General features: G+C 36.9%; 1 protein-coding gene across 9 annotated transcripts in view; it reads left to right on the plus strand.

Moving 5' to 3' along the window:
- CLCN3 (chloride voltage-gated channel 3) overlaps positions 1-18,354 on the plus strand; it is a 103,096-nt gene extending 84,742 nt beyond the window's left edge. For 5 of the 9 annotated variants that reach the window (NM_001829.4, NM_001243372.2, NM_001243374.2 and 2 more), the window contains 3 exons: positions 1,549-1,947; positions 7,760-7,976; positions 14,588-18,354. In NM_001829.4, coding sequence (NP_001820.2) covers positions 1,549-1,947; positions 7,760-7,976; positions 14,588-14,678 — 707 coding nt within the window. In that variant the 3' untranslated portion in view covers positions 14,679-18,354. Of the gene's footprint in view, positions 1-1,548; positions 1,948-7,759; positions 7,977-12,472; positions 12,549-14,587 lie in introns of all 9 variants that reach the window. The other 4 variants (NM_173872.4, XM_047449584.1, XM_005262726.4 and 1 more) reach the window with 1 other exon arrangement.

A 22,335-nucleotide genomic window follows, 5' to 3' on the forward strand; every position in this document is an offset into this window, starting at 1 on the left:
ATGAAGTTGGATTAGTGAGAAGGAACAGATTATGAAAAGACAAGAAACCTGATTAATGTCAGGATGATTTTATATTTGAAGTTGGTCAGATTTATGGCAGTCCTGGCTTTGCCATTTTTAGTTTGATGACTTTGAGAAAGTTCCTTCTTGAAGTTTTAATTTTCTGTATATAAAAAGTAATAACACCTGGTGATCTGCTAGGTTTGTTTTGAGGATTATATGAGATAAAATGCATGCAAAACTGTTATAATAGTGCCTGGTAAAATAAGTGCCTAGTTTTAAAAACAAGTCTTTGTAAACTGCTTAGGACATGCCTGGTATAGGGTAGGTATGTAATACATAGTAGGTAGGATCTGTCTCCTTGCTATTTTTAGGTAAAAAAACAAAAGGAAGAGCTTCAGCTTAATACAGTATGAACTGACGAGCCCTGGTAGGTTTTTGAGCAAAAGAGCAACACAGTAAAAGTAGTACTTAGGAAAGATTAACAAGGGAACATGGCTTATACAGTGGTAATGGGGCCTGGAGTCAAGGAGGTAAGATAAAATGGTATTATAATTAAGGAATAGCCAGGCACGATGGCACATGCATGTAATGCCAGCTACTGGAGAGGCTGAGGTGGGAGGATCATGGGAGTCCAGGAGTTTGAGACCAGCCTGGGCAACTGAGTGAGACCCCAAATCCTAAAAAATACAAAGTAAAAAAGGAATAAAGTCATGAGGGCTTGGACTGGATTGATAACAGTGAGAATACCGAGAAAGGGACCATAGGCAGTGTGAACGCAGCTCACTGCAGCCTCAAACCCCAGCCCAAACGAGCCTCCCACCTCAGCCTCCCAAGTAGCTGGGACCACAGACATACACCACCATGCATGACTACTTTTTTTAGTTTTTACTTTTGTAGAGACAGGGTCTCACTGTATTGCCCAGGCTGGTCTCAAACTCCTTGACTTAAGTGATCTTCCTGCCTTGGCCTCCCAAAGTGATTACAGGCATGAGCCACAGTGCCTGGCCCAAATAGTTTTCTGTGAGTGAATATTACTTGCATCGTTAATGTAAATCAAAGGCATCAAAGTATTTTACTCTTTTTGAAAAAAATTTAGAGGAGAAATTTATTATATTAATATTCTACCCATATATGAGTTTAATTTGTAAATTGTAGCAAAGCATGATGTGCTTTACTAAATTCCTTTATAATTAGAATAAGCTTTTATAAGGGTGAAATTATGTCTTTGCTACAGCACTAAACCAAAATGGCAAAATTGTTTTAGTCGGTAAGCTTTGCTTTTTTAAAATATGAAATAAACAGGTTTTTAAAATGTTATTTTAATAGTCTTCTCTGTTATAAACAAAGAAAATTGGTGTTTCTCTAGAGCTTATTAAAAGTAGTGATTATTGTCCTAAAAGAGGAGTAGCAGTTTTAGATGCTAATGCTTTTCCCTGACTGAGTTCTATTTGCCATTTAGTTTTAACTGCCTAGTGCAAAAATTCTAATAAAATGTAATGATGAGGATCCTGTCCTTCCTGACCAGTGGGTGCTTACTTTTTTCAGGTGGTGTGACAAGAATGACTGTCTCCCTGGTGGTTATTGTTTTTGAGCTTACTGGAGGCTTGGAATATATTGTTCCCCTTATGGCTGCAGTCATGACCAGTAAATGGGTTGGAGATGCCTTTGGCAGGGAAGGCATTTATGAAGCACACATCCGATTAAATGGATACCCTTTCTTGGATGCAAAAGAAGAATTCACTCATACCACCCTGGCTGCTGACGTTATGAGACCTCGAAGGAATGATCCTCCCTTAGCTGTCCTGACACAGGACAATATGACAGTGGATGATATAGAAAACATGATTAATGAAACCAGCTACAATGGATTTCCTGTCATAATGTCAAAAGAATCTCAGAGATTAGTGGGATTTGCCCTCAGAAGAGACCTGACAATTGCAATAGGTACCCTTTCAAAAATATATATATGTATATATGAGATGGATTTCTGGAAGAAAGGAAAGCAATAAGCAGTAACATTTAATGGGTTGGATTTGTGGGGGCAAGGGACATTATTTTATGTCCCTTAAAATCTTCTGTTCTTTAGGAAAGGAAGGTATGCTTCAGTGGATGATTTTCTGCTATTTAGCAGAAAATCTGTATTTCAGTTTTGTCTTTTGATCTGGCATTGTACCAGAAATTGGAGTCAGATTATTTTCCCACTCAGATAAGCCTAGATAAGTTGATCTTGGTTATTCAAAACAGCATGTAATATAAGACCTTAGCTAAATGCATTCAGTCAAATACATTCTTGTATTTAATAAAGTTGGCTTATTGGAATACAAGTTATTGAAAATCTCATCTTCATCAGTCTCTTTCATATTAGAATAACACTGTTTTGCTTTATCAGTCTTTGGGGTTAGAATTATAATATTAATTTATAATATCTGATTTAAAGTGACAATCACTGAGATTTTTATTTCTGATCAAATGCCAGGTTGAAAAAGTATAACGTATCAGTCCTGTTGTGTTTTATGCAGACTTTCCTGAAAATACTGTTTAAAGGTATTAGCCATAGTGTATTTCTTGGAGATAAATTAAACTTTCTATAGTTCTGTTTCTCTAAAATTTGTTTTTCTCTTTACCTTATAGTCCCGCAGTATTGATGAGGAGACCATTAAGACTTAATATTTTTTTGACACAATCTTATATCTCTTCCTCCAACCCCTAAAAAGTGACTGAGGATAGGTACATCAAGCCATTGCTTTGTTACTCCCCAGGTTTTAGTGCCAGACCCTGAATGGAAGTGTCAAGCCTTTGGCCTGTCTGAAAGGTCATTCCTGTGAGCATATCATCTCCCTTCCAGCTTACCTCTGTGGCCATTGCAAAAGGATTTAAAAATAATTTTTGTGCCATTTGAATGGCACAAGACCAGACAGTGTATGTGGGGGAGTGTTTCTCAAATCAAACTGGAAACTCTTTAATTTGTAAGAACCATTAAGCAGAGAGAGAAAAAAGAAAGGAAAAGAAAAAAGATCCTACAGAGAACACCCTGTTCAGTTTGGGAACAGGCTACAGCTTTGGATTTTTCAAGGCCTAGCATTCCCATCATTCTAAATTTTACTTAGCTAATACAATAGTAGTTGCCAGAGCTGATGACATAGTATTTTGTCATGCTTGGCTCCGTTCAAGCATTTTAGTTTTTTAGCCATTACCATGGCTAGACCCAGTCAAAAGAATTTCATTGTTTAAGATTCCCATTCTCTAGTTTTTACTAGTAGCCAGCCAAAGAAAAGAAAAAGGAGGTCAGAATTTCGGTATTTACATAGAAATTTAAGGGGAAAAGGCCAGGCATGTTTTTAAAGTGTGGAAATTAAGAACTATTCATTATCCCACTGATTGTGTGGATGTGTTTTTTAAAGTTTTGTTACTGTCTTGAGAGAGAGAATATTGAGATAGGACATAATGTTGGTTTAAGGGAATGAGGGTACTTTCTGTAGGTGAGGTGCCAAGCCATGTCATCAGAAATGTTAGTCACATGACTTTCTAAGCACACCTTAAATGTTTTACCGTGTATGTTTTTGTAAAGTTTTAAATTTTTAACTGGGAAAAACAGACCTGTATATTAAGTTTTATATATATATATAAATTTAAAATTACATATATATGTTTATATATGTAACTTTTATATGGGAGAGATATATATTTCTATATCCTCTATAAAAAAACATATCTATATATGAAAATTATGTACGTAAATGTTAATTTATAATTAATTATATAAATATTAACATAATTACATTATATATATAGAAAACCTAGTGTACAGATCTGTATATAAATTAAAAATGTATGTGTTATATATAGTTACATCATATAATACATATAATTGATATATATAATGATAAATACTTTATTGAAGGATGAAAAAATTTCCATGCTGTCTCATAAAATAAGATGGTTGACATATGCTAAACTAGATAGATTCTCCTGTTTCATACTAAAGCAGAATGTTGTAAAATATTAAATTCAAATGAGATGTCTCAGATTAAGGCCATTTCAACAGGAATGCTGAGACTTTAAAAAAAAAAAAAGTCTGAGGCTGGGCGTGGTGGCTCATGCCTGTAATCCCAGCACTTTGGGAAGCTGAAGCAGGTGGATCACTTGAGGCCAGGAGTTTGAGACCAGCCTGGCCAATGTGGTGAAATCCCGCCTCTACTAAAATACAAAAAAAATACATGGGTGTGGTGACGCATGCCTATAATTCCAGCTACTTGGGAGGCTGAGGCAGGAGAATCACTTGAACCTGGGAGGTGGAGATTGCAGTAAGCCCCACCACTGCACTCCAGCCTGGGCGAAGAGCAAAACCCTGTCTCAAAAAAAAAAAAAGCCTGAATTATATCAGCAAATGAAAACTGTAATGTTGTTCTCTGTTTCAGAGGCCCTTGAATGAATAGCACTAAAAATATTTTTTAAAAAATGAAGAAAATGAAAATTGTAATGTTCCTTATTTAAAAGGCCCTTGAATGAGTAGCATCAAAAATATTTTTAAATGGGAGGCCAGGGTGGGAGGTTTGTTTGGCACCAGGAGATCAAGACCAGCTTGGGTAACATAGCAAGACCTTTGTCTCTACCAAAAAAAAAAAATTGTCTGGGTGTGGTGGTGCCACCTGTATTCCTAGCTACTGGGAACGCTGATGCAGGAGGATCCCTGGGACTCTAGAGTCCAGAGTGAGACCCTGTCTCTAAAACAAACAAACAAACAAAAACTGTATTTATGTAAAAGTAATACTTGTTTTTTAAATTTTATTTATTTTTAATTGATAAAAATTGTATGTATGTTTATGTGATGTATATATTGTGGAATGGTTAAATCAGGCTAATTAACTCAGATTTTTTGTGTGTGTGGGGAGAATATCTAAAATCCCTCTCCTTAGCAGTTTCCAAATGAAATGAAAGAATAAAAGTGATTTATTTTTTTGAGACAGCATCTCACCCTGTTTCTCAGGCTGGAATGCAGTGGCACGATCTTGGCTTACTTGATCCTCGACTTCCCTGGCATCCGGTGATCCTCCCACTTCACTCTCCTAATTAGCTAGGACTACAGGCATGCGCCACCATGACTGGCTAATTTTTGTATTTCTTGTATAGGCAAGGTTTTGCCATGTTGCCCAGGCTGGTTTCAAGCTCCTGGGCTCAAACGATCCACCTGCCTCAGCCTCCTGAAGTGCTGGGATTACAAGTGTGAGCCACCACACCTGGCGAAAAGTGTTATTTTTTTAAATGACAAATTTAAGTCAAAGAGATTGAATGTTCACTTCTGGTACTTTGTATATAAGAGAAACATTCCATTAAATAATTTTTTAAACATTTCTAAAATTACATATTTTGTCATTAAATGTTTAAACAATCAGTATAATTTCATTGATACAGTGTTTGTTATTTTGTCGGTGTTTAAGATTGATAATTGGGGTTAGTTTTAATTCAGAATGTTATTCTATTTAATGTCACACTTCATGTCTTTTTATTTTGTATATCTATTAATGAATTATTTTAGCTATAGTTATTACTGTTTTAGAGATGAGGTCTTCTATGTTGCCCAGGGTAGACTTGAACTCCTGGGCTTCAGCAATCCCCTCCTCAACCTCCGGAGCACATGAGATTAGAGACGTGTGCCACTGTATCTGGCCTGCTGTAGTTATTTTTAATTCTTTTGTCTTTCAACTTTTATACTAGAGTTAGAAATGATTTACAAACCCTATTGCAGTTTTAGAGCGTTATGAATTTGACTATATATTTCTTATAACAACTTAACTTCAGTTGCTTACAAAAACTACAGAGTTTTACTCCCCCGTCCACATTTTATACTATTGATGTCACACTTTACATCTTTTTATTTTGTGAATCCATTAATGATACTTCTGGTAGTTTTTACACTCCACTATTCAGTTGTCAGACACCATTCAGTTGTTAGATTGTTATGAGCTAAAAGCAACTTAATGGGTATTTTTCAAAAATCATTTATGTCAATTGCTAATGGACTTCTTTTCTATGCCATGATCATGCTTTTTTTATTTTTGAGACGGAGTTTCACTCTTGTTGCCTGGGCTGGAGTGCAATGGCGCGGCCTCAGCTCACTGCAACCTCCGCCTCCTGGGTTCAAGCGATTCTCCTGCCTCAGCTGGGATTACAGGCATGTGCCACCGTGCCAGCTAATTTTGTATTTTTAGTAGAGACAGGGTTTCACCATGTTGGCCAGGCTGGTCTCGAACTCCTGACCTCAGTTGATCTGCCCACCTTGGCCTCCCAAAGTGCTGGGATTACAGACGTGAGCCACTGCGCCTGGCCTGATCATGCTTTTAAGGTGGTTGAGTAAGTACTAGTTGCTGGGGCTTTACTTAGTGCCCTCCTACTCAAATGTGTTAGAACATAGTTAAGAAGGCTGTAGTGTTCAAAAGGAGTAAAAAGCAGTGCAGTGTTTGCAGTAATATCTGCTTCTCAATTTAGGACTGATGCTTATTATGGCTTAAATGTTTTTGTAGTAAAATTTGTATTCAAAAAATATATTTTTTTTTCTTTTTGCGACAGAGTCTTGCTTTGTCACCCAGGCTGGAGTGTGGTGGTATGATCATGGCTGACTGCAGCCCTGACCTTCCGGGCTCAAGTGATCTTTCCACCTCAGCCTCCCAATTACTTGGGACCACCAGCATGCTTGGCCGATTTTTTTTTTTTTTTTTTTTTTGTAGAAGCAAGGTTTCCCTATGTTGCCAAGGCTGGTCTTGAACTTTAGGGCTCATGTGATACTCCTGCCTCGGCCTCCCAAAGTGTTAGGATTACAAGCCTGAGCCACCATGGCCGGCCAAAATATTTTCACTATAACAAATATCATATCTGTATATACTCAGTTTTAATACTAACTCAAAGTAGAAACATAAAGCTGAATGACTATTTTATTTTCAGATTCTCTCCATTGAGTTTCCTTCTCCGTCTTGTGTGATCTCTGAACTTTTCTCCATCTTTGCCACTTCTTGTCTAGCATTTTTTTTTTATCAGCAGTTTCATTCAGATTTTTTTTTTAGTTCTTTCAACGGTGGAGTGGAAGTAGGCAGCAGGACAGAAGAACTTGAAGCAGAGCACACTGGAGAGGAGAAATTAACAAAGCCTTTATGAATAAAACAACCCCCCAATATCAGTCTGTGTGCATTATGAGCATAATTGTACTTTCATCTCATCTGTAATGTTCATGACTTTTCTAGAAAATTATACTTTAACATGAGAAAAGAAAAAGAACCAGCTAATTCATAGGGATGGAGGACACAGCATAGTCAAAGCAAGAATGAAACTCTCTTTAGTGCCACCTCCAGTGCAGAATAAGTAACATTCAGCAGAGGCAGGTTTCATTTGATAATGGATTCCTATAATAAACTGCGCTCAGAATTTGTGCAGGTTTTAAAATCCCGTATTCCAAACCCACTTCCTTAGCCCCCAAGTTAGAAAACAGCTTCAGTAAAGAAAATTGTACGATGATATAACTTTACCAAAAAATAATTTCTTTCCATGAAGATGATATATTATTGTTGACTTCTAATTCAATCAAATATAAACAATTGCTAAATGGCTTTTCAGTTGACTCCTTTCTTGGTTAAGGAGAAGATAGGAAAAAATGAAGGGATCAGAAGTCATAGGATACATTAATTTTTTTTATCTCTGAATAAACAGGTTGCCTACTTAAAAATCTATCAGTTTAAAAGTGTTGGTCTCTTCTCTCTCTTTTCAGAAAGTGCCAGGAAAAAACAAGAAGGTATCGTTGGCAGTTCTCGGGTGTGTTTTGCACAGCACACCCCATCTCTTCCAGCAGAAAGTCCTCGGCCATTGAAGCTTCGAAGCATTCTTGACATGAGCCCTTTTACAGTGACAGACCACACCCCAATGGAGATCGTGGTGGATATTTTCCGAAAGCTGGGACTGAGGCAGTGCCTTGTAACTCACAATGGGTAAGTCTGGTACCACAGGAATCAGTTCACTTGCTAGAATATAGGATCCTTTTTAGTGGAATCTATATAGTTATTAGGGGAGCATGTGAGTCAGCTCCCAGGTGGGAAAGTCTGTCCTATGGTATAGTCACAAATATAGGATCAGTCAATCAAATTTCACATTTACTAAGGAATAAGAAAGATGTCATCTGCCTGCTCTTTGCCAAACAGTGACATTTGTAAATAATACCTCAAAGTTGGAAAAGAGGTGCTGAAAGATCTCCAGCATGAAAGCATGTTGAGCTTAGAGTGCTTCTTTTCCTAGGGAAGAGTGGACCTAACCTGCATGGAGCACTGCAAAAACCTGTTTTATTTTTGTAAATGTTTCATTTTTAGTATATAAATTTCTAGTACAATAATAAGTTTCTAGATATTTTGCTATTTACTCTTTCAGCCAATATTTGATTTATCATGTAATGAAGGAAAGAATATATACTTAAATGAAATTTGTAAATGAGCTAAAAATCTCCTTTAACAAATGCTTTGTTTCCTTTTGTCTACCTTTCTCTATACACAAATCTTTTATATTTATATAACTGCTAAGGACAAATAAATACTCATGTATTTAAAATGTATACATTGATAATTTATTTTTCCACCTTTTACACATGAACTGCCAGTGTTTCTCCATTGACAGGAATATAGGAAAGAAACAGATGTCACGGGGGTTGTGGAGACCTTAATGCACAGAATTGATTTAGCAAATACACTACTTCGTCACCACTGCTCTCTTTTCCTGGACCTGGGATCTGTTTCTCCACACTTCTTTCTTTAGGACCCTTCATTTCCACTATATATTCTTTCTTGTTGAACTTAAGAATGTTGTTTTATCCGAAGGCAAATACCAAAAAACAGAGGGTATTCTTGGATTATGCATAAACTGGATGGCTAATCCTGAACAGCGTAAAGCTGGTTGAAATTCTAAACAGAGAATCATAGCAGTTTTTTGTTGTTTTTTTTTTTTAACATGTTGTAGAAAACACATTGGTGACAGAATACATGACTCCTGTCCAGAGAAAGGAGAGAAAAAGAACAGAAAGGAAGGAAATTTGTTTATTGAACACCTTCATATTTTCTCATTTAACTTTGCAGGACCTCTGCAAAGTAGGTAGTTATAGCCCTACTTTACAGATGTAGTAATTAAAGCTCAAGAAGCTTTAATAATTTGCCCAAAGTCATGTGGTGAACAAGTCATGGTTCAAGGAATCAGACTGTCTTTCCTACTTTAAAACCCAGCCTCTTGCTACTATTTTGCACTGTAAGTGACTGATAGAAATCCTCTTTCTTTGTGATTTCTTAAACTACTAAAACATTTTCTTGGCCAATATATTAGATTGAGTTAAGAATAGAAATATGAAACTAGAGAATTAGATCTATGTTTAGTGTTTTTCACTGCGCTAATTAAAATAACTCTTTAGGAATATGAAGTAAATCATTAAAGAGATAAAGCCCTTAAAGGCAGGGAGTTTAGAATTATTAAATTCTAATAATTTAGATACTGATTGGAGAAGAGATGTATTCATAAGTTATTATTGTTACTATTTGTCTTTGTGTAATATTGTTTGATTAAATGATGGCACCGACTTCATTAAGTTTAAAAACTCAGTACTAGTTAAATGGGGCAACTTTTCATAAAGCTTTGCTAGTCCTTGAGCCCTTTTATTTGTTAAATGGCTCAACTGGAACCTAAGCTGAGTTGTTACAAACTATTATTTGCTTCAAGTTGTTTTCTGTTCCTGGCATGGCTTTTTCTTTTGTGTACTGACAAATATAAATGTTATTCTGTTGAGTTATGGTTAACTATGAACACAGAACTGTTAGGGATTAATTTTCATATTTCAGTTTGTTGATTAATTCCCAGGTATTTGGCAGCATAGATATTAGAAAGGAAAATATTTAAAAGAAAGTGTAAAAATAACGAAGTGTATAGAGCGAGGGGTGGATAGCTAATTAAAATTTTGTCTGGTCCTGCCTGTTCATATGAAAAAAGGGGTTGGACTTTCTTCTAAGGGAATATATTAAATTGCTTTCATCATATTTTCCTTATTTCTGTCTGTCAAGGAAAATAAATTGATACATATATGGGGAGAAAAGAGATCATTTAGGGAAGTGGCTCATGGGACTTTTTGTTTTGTTTGAAGTGTATTAGGAAGTCGGGTGTTTTTTTTCTCACTTAAATTATTTAAAACCCAGAAAAGAAATGATATCTTCTGGTTTTTAAAGGAGACCATGAAGTTCTGCATAGCTATCATTGATGTGTAGTTCATACTGCATTTTTAGAAGTGGAAAATAGTTATTTGGAGGAAGATAACAAATCTGGAACCTTAGGTGCAAGGAGAAAAAGAATAGATGAAAGGGAAAGATGTTTGTAAATTATAAAAATTTCAATTAGCTATTGGTTTTCTGCACTTTATATTTTAACTGCAGAATTTTTCAAAATCAGTTAATCTTGGTGGAATTAGCAGGATGTTAATAGGAGTGACTCAGAAAAAACATTTTGTGACTGTCTAAGTTTGGAAAGTATTGGATTAAATACAATTGAGGTTTCTTTACTATGGAACTCCTCAGAACTTATAATATGTTGATATTCTTTGATTCCCAGATGAGGGGATGGGTAATAGGATACATGGTTTTCCAGACTTGTTTGAAAATGCAACTATTTTTGGGTTGCAGGGAAGGATATAGTAGAACTCATGGGAACTGGTGTTTCTTGGAACATGCTTTGGAAATGCTGGGTTATGCCCTGTTAACTCTTACATCATTAGTTTTTAGCCCAAAAGGAAACAGCAAATAATGTTTTATATGAGCCACATTTTGCGTTGATTTTCCTTCCACTCTGTAAAATTACTAAAGCAGCACTCTGACTTTATTATGCTCAAATCGCTCTTCTCCATTAATGTGTGTTTCTCCATCTTTTAGGGTTTTTACTTTATAAATACAGAGATTACTGTGTAAAATTCTAAATTTGCCACTGGGTCGTTATACATTTGTAACCTTCCTCACAGTATATTTTGTGATTTGGCAGAGTTTACCAATATAGATGATACTAACTGAAATTAATCATTCTGTATAATTGGATAGAAAAGCATGAGTAAGAATTCAATTGGTATTATATTTAATTAATTGCCAAGATTTTCACATTTCCTGACTACAACAATAAAATCAAATGAATTGATGGCTTAAAAAAAAGAAATCTCAAATGTTTAGTCAATGAAGAACATCTATTGAATGAGTGAATGTTCATTATATATAGTGCATTTTCTGAGCTTTTTTGGAGGGGGAAGTTGCTCCCATGCTCTGAGAACTTTTAAGGATCGATACATTATTTTTAACATAATAATGAGAAAACATGAGCAGAGAACCCATTTCTGTCATTCCCATTCTCTATCCTCCTGCTCCCCCACCTCCCACCCCAGCCATCAAGCTAAGTAACTATTTTACACCTGGACGTAGCTATAGGAACAGGCTACTTTGAAGTCTCCTAGTGACATCCTTCAAGTCTGAATGTTCAAAGGCAGTTTAACAGGGAGGTTGACTTAATGAGATCATCAAGGAAATGTCCAGTCATCCTGAAGGGTATTTTGGATGGGCTTCCAGAATTTAAAGATTAAAGTTTTTTTAAGGTTTTTTTATTTTCACTGTTTATATTGCCACATTAATTTCCATTATAAAACCAGTAACCATAGTTTTGTTTTAATTAGCAATCTAATTATTTTCATGTATCCTCATTATGAGAATTTATGTCCATCACTTTGCTTGATGTGATAACAGTGACATGCTAAATGAGAAACAATTGTTATTTAGAAAAAAATGCACAAAGTGAAAGTCCTTTTAATCCCTAATCATAAATACATTTTATTAGCTTACTTTAAGAAGTGGCAGTCACAGCTCCTGAACATTAGGGAGTGTTTCTTTTGGTCAGCATTATTTATTTAGTGCACATTGCCTTTAATTTTAATTTGAAATTATAGTAAAATCCACGGGAGTTTTTAAGTCTCCTCACAGCCTTTTGCTACCTTTTCACCAAGGTAGATCCAGATGATAACTGCTGTGTTGTGACATCATAGAAATTAGAAAAATATTTTCCTCTGAGGAAAGAACATTGTAAATGAAACTCTACATATCAGAGGTCTATAGCTATGTATCAATATTAAGTTTCTTTTGTACTTTGCTTTGTAGTCATCTTCATTCCAAACTTTCATAATTATTATTTTTACTTTAAAAAGAAAAATAACCCACCAATATTGAAGATTAGTATTGTGTCACTTTTGAAAGTCAGTAGAATTTATGCAAAAGGAACCTGGAACTTTAAATCATTTTGTTTTTATTTTCTAAAGTTCATGAGACTCATTCTTATGGTTCATGTTTTTATTTTTTCTCTCATTCTTTATCATTATGATTGGAAACTCTTTTAATTTAATTTCTCACACAGTTATTAGCATAATAATCTGTTTCAGGATTGTCTTGGGGATCATCACAAAGAAGAACATATTAGAGCATCTCGAGCAACTAAAGCAGCACGTCGAACCCTTGGTGATTAGATATATCAGATCTCCTCATTAGACACCTTAGAAGTCAGGAAGCATGAAACTTGTGAACTGTTGAGTTCTGTCTTTCCCAGATATCTGCTGAACAAAAATATCCTACTATGCTGCCAATTACATTTGTATCTGATAAAATGTGTCTGTAAGATAAATTTAGATATGTGTAAAATCCCATTTATAGAAAGTAAGCAAAAGTTAACATCTCTCATCAAATCATTCATTACAATTTCAGAACTGTAAACAGTTTGGTAGTGGAATAAGTGAATATTATTGGACATTCTTAAAGTGAATATGGCAAATCTGTCTACCTCAGTGGATACACCGGTCTCAGAAGACACCTGACTGGTTAAAAATGTCTGACCCATCCCCGCAAGCCCTTTTTTTTTTTTTTAAATGTTTCCCGATCTTGTGGTAGTCTTATGGTAAATCTAAGCTCCTAAAGGATTTTAAAGGAGCTTAGCAATTAGAACTGCTTACAGTTAAATGGATTTTTTAATGGGCACACTAACTAGAGTGTAATGTGTATATTATTTGTGATCATAGCATTAGTTCTTTTTCTGCTATACCCTGCATATCTTCAAAGTCACAGTGTGTGTCCTGCCATCTCATTAGTGAATTGTACCTAGATTATGTGTGTGCCCCTTTTGTATGATGTTTCTGGAACGCTATAAGCAGCTTTTAGAGTCAAATGCATTCATTTTAACTGGCTTTATGTCCTAGTGGTTTCATGACTACAAATTTGAATTATCTTACTGCATAACATAAAAAATGTCTGGCTTTAGCAATTAATGCCCGAAATTATTTTGCCCTGCAATTGTCATACCTGTATGAAACCTGTCCCAGTTTGCTTAAGTGCACAACTGATTATGTATTCCTGTGTGTATGCTAATATTTCACAAGTGTTTCATGCATCCTTTTTTAAAAAACTACTAACCAGAATATTATCGTAGCTACTCATTCATTCTGCTTTCTGCTTCACCTATAATAATCTTTTAGGACTGCCTTCTGATTTTTCACCTATCTTTTAATGTAAGCATTAACAACTAAGACTTTCATAAAAGCACTGTATCTTAACTTTCCTGGCCTAAATCAAAAAAAGGAAAACATTGATAAGTGTCCTAGAAACTTGGATTCTTTTATAGATTTGTTCTTGGGGCTCTGATGTTTGGGATTGACGTTCTGTGCTGACCATTTTATATGCATTTTATCTTAATAGTATGTGCTTTCATGAAGATTCTGATACAAGTGGGCAATCCTTAAATTATCTTTGAAAAATTGGTTAATTTTGGTTAAAAAAGGGAAAGTGGCTGGGTGCAGTGGCTCACGCCTGTAATCCCCAGCACTTTGGGAGGCCGGGACGGGTGGATCACAAGGTCAGGAGTTGAAGCCCATTCTGGCCAACATGGTGAAACCCTGTCTCTACTGAAAATAATTGGGGCATGGTGGCACATGCCTGTAATCCCAGCTACTTGGGAAGCTGAGGCAGGAGAATTGCTTGAACCGGGGACCCAGGAGGCGGAGGTTGCAGTGAGCTGAGATCGCGCCACTGCACTCCAGCCTGGGCTACAGAGCGAGACTCTGTCTCAAAAAATAAATAAATAAATAAATGAAAAAGAGAAAATATTGAGAGGATTTGGTCATCATTTTACTGCTCTCTTCATGTGATGGAAATCAATTTTCCTTCTCAAATGGGATCAGTATCATTTCCTAGTCATACATCCATCCAGTTTTTGTTACTTTTTTGTTGGCATACATTAATCAAAATAGCTCTGCTTCATTGAGGCATGCAGTCCTCAGACTCTCGGTGGAAAGGCTGTCATACTATTAGTGACCATAGTAACTTTTTATACCAAAGGATGGTTGCTGGATAATTTTAATATCTTTACCAATAAAGTACTTTTTGGAAATACAAAATCAGGCTGCTTGCTTTGCTCTATTCCTGTCAACAAAAAGGATTTAGCTATAGATTTAGCTTCTCCTTTTATTTTCCCTTTTATTTCATAGGAGTCTTCTGTTTATTCCTTTCAGGCGCCTCCTTGGCATTATAACAAAAAAAGATATCCTCCGGCATATGGCCCAGACGGCAAACCAAGACCCCGCTTCAATAATGTTCAACTGAATCTCACAGATGAGGAGAGAGAAGAAACGGAAGAGGAAGTTTATTTGTTGAATAGCACAACTCTTTAACCTGAGGGAGTCATCTACTTTTTTTTCCTCCTTTACAAAAAAAGAAAGGAAATATAAAAGCCGGGTTTTTGCAACATGGTTTGCAAATAATGCTGGTGGAATGGAGGAGTTGTTTGGGGAGGGAAAGGAGAGAGAAGGAAAGGAGTGAGGTATTTCCCGTCTAACAGAAAGCAGCGTATCAACTCCTATTGTTCTGCACTGGATGCATTCAGCTGAGGATGTGCCTGATAGTGCAGGCTTGCGCCTCAACAGAGATGACAGCAGAGTCCTCGAGCACCTGGCCTGTTGCTCCAACATTGCAAAGACACATTATCAGTCCCTATTTCTAGAGGGATTACTTTGAATTGAGCCATCTATAAAACTGCAAGGTCTTGCCCTTTTTTTTAATCAAAACTGTTCTGTTTAATTCATGAATTGTATAGTTAAGCATTACCTTTCTACATTCCAGAAGAGCCTTTATTTCTCTCTCTCTCTCTCTCTCTCTCTCTCTCTCTACTGAGCTGTAACAAAGCCTCTTTAAATCGGTGTATCCTTTTGAAGCAGTCCTTTCTCATATTGAGATGTACTGTGATTTTACTGAGGTTTCATCACAAGAAGGGAGTGTTTCTTGTGCCATTAACCATGTAGTTTGTACCATCACTAAATGCTTGGAACAGTACACATGCACCACAACAAAGGCTCATCAAACAGGTAAAGTCTCGAAGGAAGCGAGAACGAAATCTCTCATTGTGTGCCGTGTGGCTCAAAACCGAAAACAATGAAGCTTGGTTTTAAAGGATAAAGTTTTCTTTTTTGTTTTCCTCTCAGACTTTATGGATAATGTGACCGGGTCTTATGCAAATTTTCTATTTCTAAAACTACTACTATGATATACAAGTGCTGTTGAGCATAATTAAATAAAATGCTGCTGCTTTGACAGTAAAGAGAAGGAAGTATTCTGATTAGCTGTATCTGGTATTAATTGCATGTTAAAACACTGGAATTTTTAAAATTGAAATTAGATCAGTCATTCTTTTCTTTTCTCAAGATATCTCATGGCTGACACTGAAGAAGAAATGTAATTCATAACTTGCACTAAATGTATATTTTTTTTCTTAAAAATTTACCATTCTTATTTATATTTTTATGGATTAAAATTTATAAAATACAGATCAGTTAATATTGCACTTAAGTAATTTTACCTTTTTAATGTGATTTTTATAGAATAATTCAGACTTACAAATACAGAGATATGAACAAAGTTTACAGTGGGAACAAAGGTTTAAAAAAAGGTTGTGGTTCTCTCTCTGTGATCCAGTGTGCACATAAACCTTTCTCTGATCTTTCACTGCCATCCTCTGGATTATGTCTTCTGACCTGTCCATTTTGACCCATTAACTGGAAAGTTGAAAAACTACATTAACTGGAAAGTTGAAAAACTACATTACTTTGGAGAATAAAACCGAAAGTTCGTGTATACCTTCTTAAAAAAAAAATCAAACCAAAAATGTGAAAACAATAGAATTGCAAAGATAGCAGTTAAAATTTTAATCTGAAAATAACCTTTGAATCTCGGGCTAGGTTACGTCCATATTTGAAGTGGTCAGTGATGGTTTGAACATTTTTTGCAGGATGAGTGAAAATGCACTGGATTATATTTGGGATTTTTGTTTTTGGAATTGTCTGTTTTAATCACAGCCTTAATTCACAATTGGCAAAGGCAGTTTACTCAAAGGACTGGGCTAAATATTCTGTAATTATGCATTTTTGATAGGAAAATGAAATTTTTGCAAACAGACATTTTCTTTTTTTTTGGCTGGAGTGCAGTGGGGCATGGTCTTGGCTCACTGCAGCGTTGACCACCTGGGCTCAAGTGATACTCCCGCCTCAGCCACCCAAGTAGCTGGCACTACGGGCACACGCCACCATGCCCAGCTAATTTTTTTGTATTTTTAGTAGAGATGGGGTTTTGCCATGCTGCCCAGGCTGGTCTCAACTCCTCAGCTCAAGCAATCTGCCTGCGTGAGCCTCCCAAAGTGGTGGAATTACAGGCGTGGGCCACTGCGCCTGGCCCAGACAGACATTTTCTGAAACACAACTGGCAATGAGCTGTTTTTACATTTTGAAAGTGATTCTTCACTTCCTAGTTCTTAATTATAGTATACCTATTAAGATCTGTAAGATCCTGAAGACATAAGATCATGAAGCCATATAAGAATGAGGATTGAAAGTTGAGCAAAATTTTCGGGATTTTGGGAAACATTCTTAGCTGTGCTATCTGCCTAAAATTATTCCTTATTACTTCTCTCCTTTGACAGACTTCAAGTTTTCTTCATAGCCCTTTCAAAGTTTTTTGAGCCATCCAGAGTAAAATCATTTCTAAATGATAGTTCTGTATATCTCCAACTCGTCTTAAGTGTATTTGCCTGTGTGCAACGTATTGCTAGACTATGAACTCCTCAGCATGGCTGCTGGATAACTTAATTGTCCTGAGTTAATAGCCTTCAAAGGACAAATCGGTTTCTTTGCAGATAGCTTCGTAAAACTTCACATGGAGTTTATTTTATCATATTTCCCTTTTTTATTTCTGCTCCTCCTTTAATTGCCCATCTTGCTTCAGAGACTGACATTTCAGGGTGGATATTAATTAAAGCATTAATTTTGTTTTTTGGTATATTTCTATCCCTAGTATTTCTATCTTACTGCTAAAATACAGGAAAAGTGCCGTATTTTTAATGCATTTAGTGGTTTTCTTTGGTGTTATCTGTTCCATTTTTCTTTTTCATACATTGAAGTGTGTCTCCTTTTCAACCAAAATAATGAAATAGTGGAGACCATGAAATTGTTGTGCCTGGCTAATTGGCAAATTAATTTACCAATATAATAAGTGTAGCGCCTTGTTTGAATACCCTTTTTGAGAAGGTATGATGAGAATGGGCAAGGGTGTCAGCATCTCTTCTTCTTAATAATTAATTGTTTTCAGTTTTGGTTCACGAAGAATGCTTAGTTAATCTGTAATGTTGCCTAGAGCTGTATTTATCTGTTTTTATTTATACTAGTGTAGTAAAGCTGCATATCATTACAGTAAAAACGACTACTGTGATGAGTTAATCAGAAAATCTATTAAAATCTATATGACAATGTGTGGTTTGGCCTTTAATTATATCTGTAACAGTCCTCCCTCTTCACTGCTGCCCTACGCAGTGTAGGCCGATATGCCTGGCACAGGGAGCCCCAAAAAGGTAATAATTATAATGCTTCTCTCAGGTTACAAAGCATTTCTACACTTTGCAAGCAAGGAGCAATAGAAGAGTAGATAGATGCTGGATTGACAGCAGGATGTTCATACCACCAGCAATGGTTTAGCGCCCCCATTTGTCAGTGAAAGCTGCAGGTCCACAGAAAACTGATTTCATTTCAGCTCACTTTCAAAAGTGATTTTTTTTTTTTTCGCAAGAAAAATTACGCTATTTGCATGAAAAGAGGTAAAACGATTTATTTACATGTCTTTAAAAAATCACCTTGGACATTTGCTAATAGAACTGCCAAAAGAGGGTGGTAAGTAACAACCTTTGATTAAGATGTGGTCTTTTACTATTAAGCTTTTAGTAAAAAGGAACACACTAAAAGTTCAGAGTAGATCATTTATATTCACTGAGTATTTACTGAGCAATTACTGGGCGCCAGGCGCTATTCTATGTTCTTGAAGTTTTCATTCCAGCAGGAAGAGAAATCTAGAGTATGTCAGATGGTGATAAATATGGATTAGTTCAGCAATTTTAAAAAAGGATTTTTATGTACTGCACACTGTTACGAATATACAAAATCAGTCAAGAATCCTGTTATAGTTTTTGTAATGTACAAAAAGTGAAGGTGTGTGCACCCACCCCATTTTTATAGAGGGTGATCAGGGAAAGCCTCAGGGATAAGGAAGCATTTGAGCAGAAACCTACAGAAAGTTAGAGAAGGACATTTATCCGTGAGAAAAAATGTTGTAAGAAGAGAAAATGCTATATACAAAGGATTCTCCTGCCAGGTTCAAGGAACACTGAGTAGATCACTGTGGCTGGAGAGGGATAAGAGGGAAGAAAGTGGTAAGGAAAGAGGTTGGGGGTGTAGGCATTTGATTTTTATTCTAAATGAGAAGCCAGTGAGGCAGAAAAGTCACATAATGTGACCTAAAATATCTCTCAGACTCCTTTGTTGGGAATAGACTATAAGGGGGCAGGGGTGGAAGCAGGCTACCAGCTAGAAGGCTCTTGGAATAATTCAGGTGAGATGTGGTAGAGATCTGAACCTGATTGAAGCTGGTGGAGGTGGTGAAAGCAGTTGGATTCGAGACATGCTGAAGGTAGAATGGACAGGACTTGTGAATGGGTTGGATGTAGTGTGGTAAGTGAGGAGTCAAGGATGCCTGCAAAGTTTTTGGCTGAGTAATGACAGAACAATGGAATGGCCACTGGCTGAGTTGGGAAAGACTTAAGAATAGATTGGGGGTGGGGTGCTGTGTGCAGAGGAATTTTGGTTTTAGACATTGTTTTAAATGTCTTTTAGACTTCCAAGTGGGGGTGTCACATAGGCATTAGCATGTATCAGACTCGAGTTCAGGAGAAAGGCCCAGCCTGAGAGCTACACAGGGGCGGCATCATCCTGAGACAGGAGAGTACCGTGCATTGAATGCAGACAGAGAAGAGGTACAAGGACCGAGCACTGACACATGCTTATGTTTAGATTTGGGGAGGTGAGGAGCCAGCAAATGAGGGAGCTGCCAGTATGGTTGGGTTAGGAGTAGTGACCTTCAAAGAAGGGTATTCCACTGGTGGATATATTAAAAAATAAGCTGCGTGTGGTAGCTCAGGCCTGTAGCACTTCAAGATGCCAAGGCGGGGCAGCAGCATCTGAGCCCAGGAGCTCATGACTAGCGTGGGAAAGAGACTAGGTCTCCTCTACAAAAAATTAAGAAATAAAAATATGAACTGGGCATGGTAGCACATGCCTGTAGTCCTGGCTACTTAGGAGGCTAAGGCAGGAGGATCACTTGAGCCCAGGAGTTGGAGGCTGCAGTGAGCTAAGATGGTGCTACTGCACTCCAGCCTGGGTGACAGAGCAAGACCCTGTCTCAAAAAGCAAGGGTAGTCCCCTAAACCAAATGAATAATAGTTTCAAGGAGCGATGATTAACTGTCCCGTGTTGCTGATAGGTGAAGTAAATGAGGGCTCAAAATGGACCAATAAAGAGAGAACTGATAACTTCCCCCAGAGTAGGTTCAGCGCGATGGTGGCAAGCCAAAGCCTGAAAGGAGTGGGTCCAACAGAGATTTGAAGAATTGAAGACAACGATTCCAATTCTTCCTATCAGGTTTCCAGGAAAGTAATACGTGATAGTTTTAAGATGCAGGATATTATAGCTTCTTTTCCTGTTGATGGTTTGACAGGGAAAATTAATCAGAACATTCGGGTTTTAAGATGCAGGAAATTATAGCCTTTTTGTTAATGATAGGAATGTTTGAGAGGAAAAATAGAGGAGAGGACCTCGAGTAGGCAAGGGAGGATGGGGTCTTGGGCACACATTCAACCTTCCTTGGGTAGTTGGTAGGGCAGTGGGATTCTGTTAAAGTTATTTTGGTGGCTTCTATTTTCTCAGTGAAATAAACTGAGGATGAGGGTGGGGGTTGGGGGTTGAGAGATGAGAAAGTAGGATCGATGGGCATCCAGTGTGGCCAACTTGAGGTTAAAATAAGACAAGCTGCCATGGTTGTGTTTTTTCTCCAGCTACCTGATACTGAGCAGACTCTGGTAAGGAATAGGCAGTTTTAAAAATCTGCCTTAAGGTTAACAGATAAATACAACAAATGGAGAGAAGGGCAGTGGAGTGGAGGATGCGGGGGTGATTGTAATGATGGGGAGTAGAATCTAAAGGCTCGGTAAAGAGAGAATCAGGAATGGAGTGGGTGAAGAATGAAAAAGGTGGTTACATTTGTGAATTGTAGGGGACTGTCGTGTTGAAAAAATTTTTGGGGTACTAGAGGGAAAGAGATGGAAGGATGAGTGATGATGTTAAGACAGTAGGATGCTTGAGATTGAGATTTGGGAGGTTTTCATTATTGGTACTGAGAAGGTACTAGTTTCTAGTTTGTCAATCAATCCCTAATCTAGATCATTGAAAGAGTAAGTCAGGGAACTGAGAGGTTAGAGTATTGTAGGGATCACCTACATATATATATACATACATGTATGTATATATATAATTTTTTTTTTTTTTTTTTGAGACAGAGTCTCACTCCATCGCCCAGGCTGGAGTGCAGTGGCACGATCTTGGCTCACTGCAACCTCTGCCTCCTGGGCTTAAGCAGTCCTCCCACCTTAGCCTCCTGAGTAGCTGGGACCACAGGTGTGCACCACCATGCCTGGCTAATCTTTTCTATTTTTAGTAGAGATGGAGTTTCACCATGTTGCCCAAGCTGGTCTCGAACTCCTGGCCTTAAGCTGTCTGCCCACCTTGGCCTCCCGAAGTGCTGGGATTACAGCTGTGAGCCACCGTGTCCAGCCAGACATTAAAATTAATTATGATAGGAATAGTTTGGACAGAATGCCATTAAGCTGGTAAGGTCAGTGTTTGAGGTAATGCAAAGGTCTTAGGACACTGCAGATTAGTTTATAGCAATCTGTTTTGCAGCTTTCATTTTTCCTTGGGTGTTATTCTACATACATGTTTGAGAGGTTATACAGAAACTCCATTATTGAACTCCAAGAGGTGAGCTTAGCTAAATGTGAACTGGTAATGATTTTCTGTTAAGTCCTGATTGGATCAAGGTTCTTCATTCATGAAAGAGCCTAGGCACTTAAACTGTGTTCTCAGAGAACAGAGGTATATAGATGCCATTTGGAAGCTACTATAGCAATTGAGTGACCAGATCCTAGGTAATATTTAGTGAACTAGGTTTAAGTGGACTATGCCTTTAGTTAAGGAAAAAGATAAAATTTGGTATCTTCCTGTAGGGAGCTTGCTCTTTAATGAAAAATGTTCAGTAGTTGGAAGATAGTACCTCCTGAAACAGGTTAGTAGCACTCTGACACAACTGGTTGGAGTTTGAGACTGGAAATCCACATTTCTTATTACTGTCTTCAGGAAACTCCATTCACAACTGTATCATCTGAATTATAACCACCATATTCTTAGAGTTTGTGTCCAATTTCTGTCTTGGCTCTGATGTGCCCAGCTTCCTGAAGATACATTCATATTAGGTTTCTGTAAGGAATGGATGAAAAGCCGATTCACCTTTTTTGTCCCCTTTCATTTGTTCCTTGATAAAAAATCCTTCTGGAATCCATATTACTGATAAAGCATATAAAAAAAAAATCTTACAAACTATACAGTTGAGACTGTTGGATCACCAAGTGACAAAATTAAAGGAATCTAATGTTTCTAGCTAAACAAATATTTAATGAGATACATGAATTTGGATATTTTTTAAGTGTGTTAACATTAGGGGCAGTATTTAGAAATGGTTGAGCCCGTTAGAAACTAAAGAAATCTGAGGAACAAAGCTCGAACTTCTAACATTTTATTTAAAATTTATAGCCTAAAATCATTTAAGATCAATGTGATTT

The sequence above is a fragment of the Homo sapiens genome, chromosome 4, assembly GCF_000001405.40.
Source record: "Homo sapiens chromosome 4, GRCh38.p14 Primary Assembly".
Classification (NCBI taxonomy): Eukaryota; Metazoa; Chordata; class Mammalia; order Primates; family Hominidae; genus Homo; species Homo sapiens.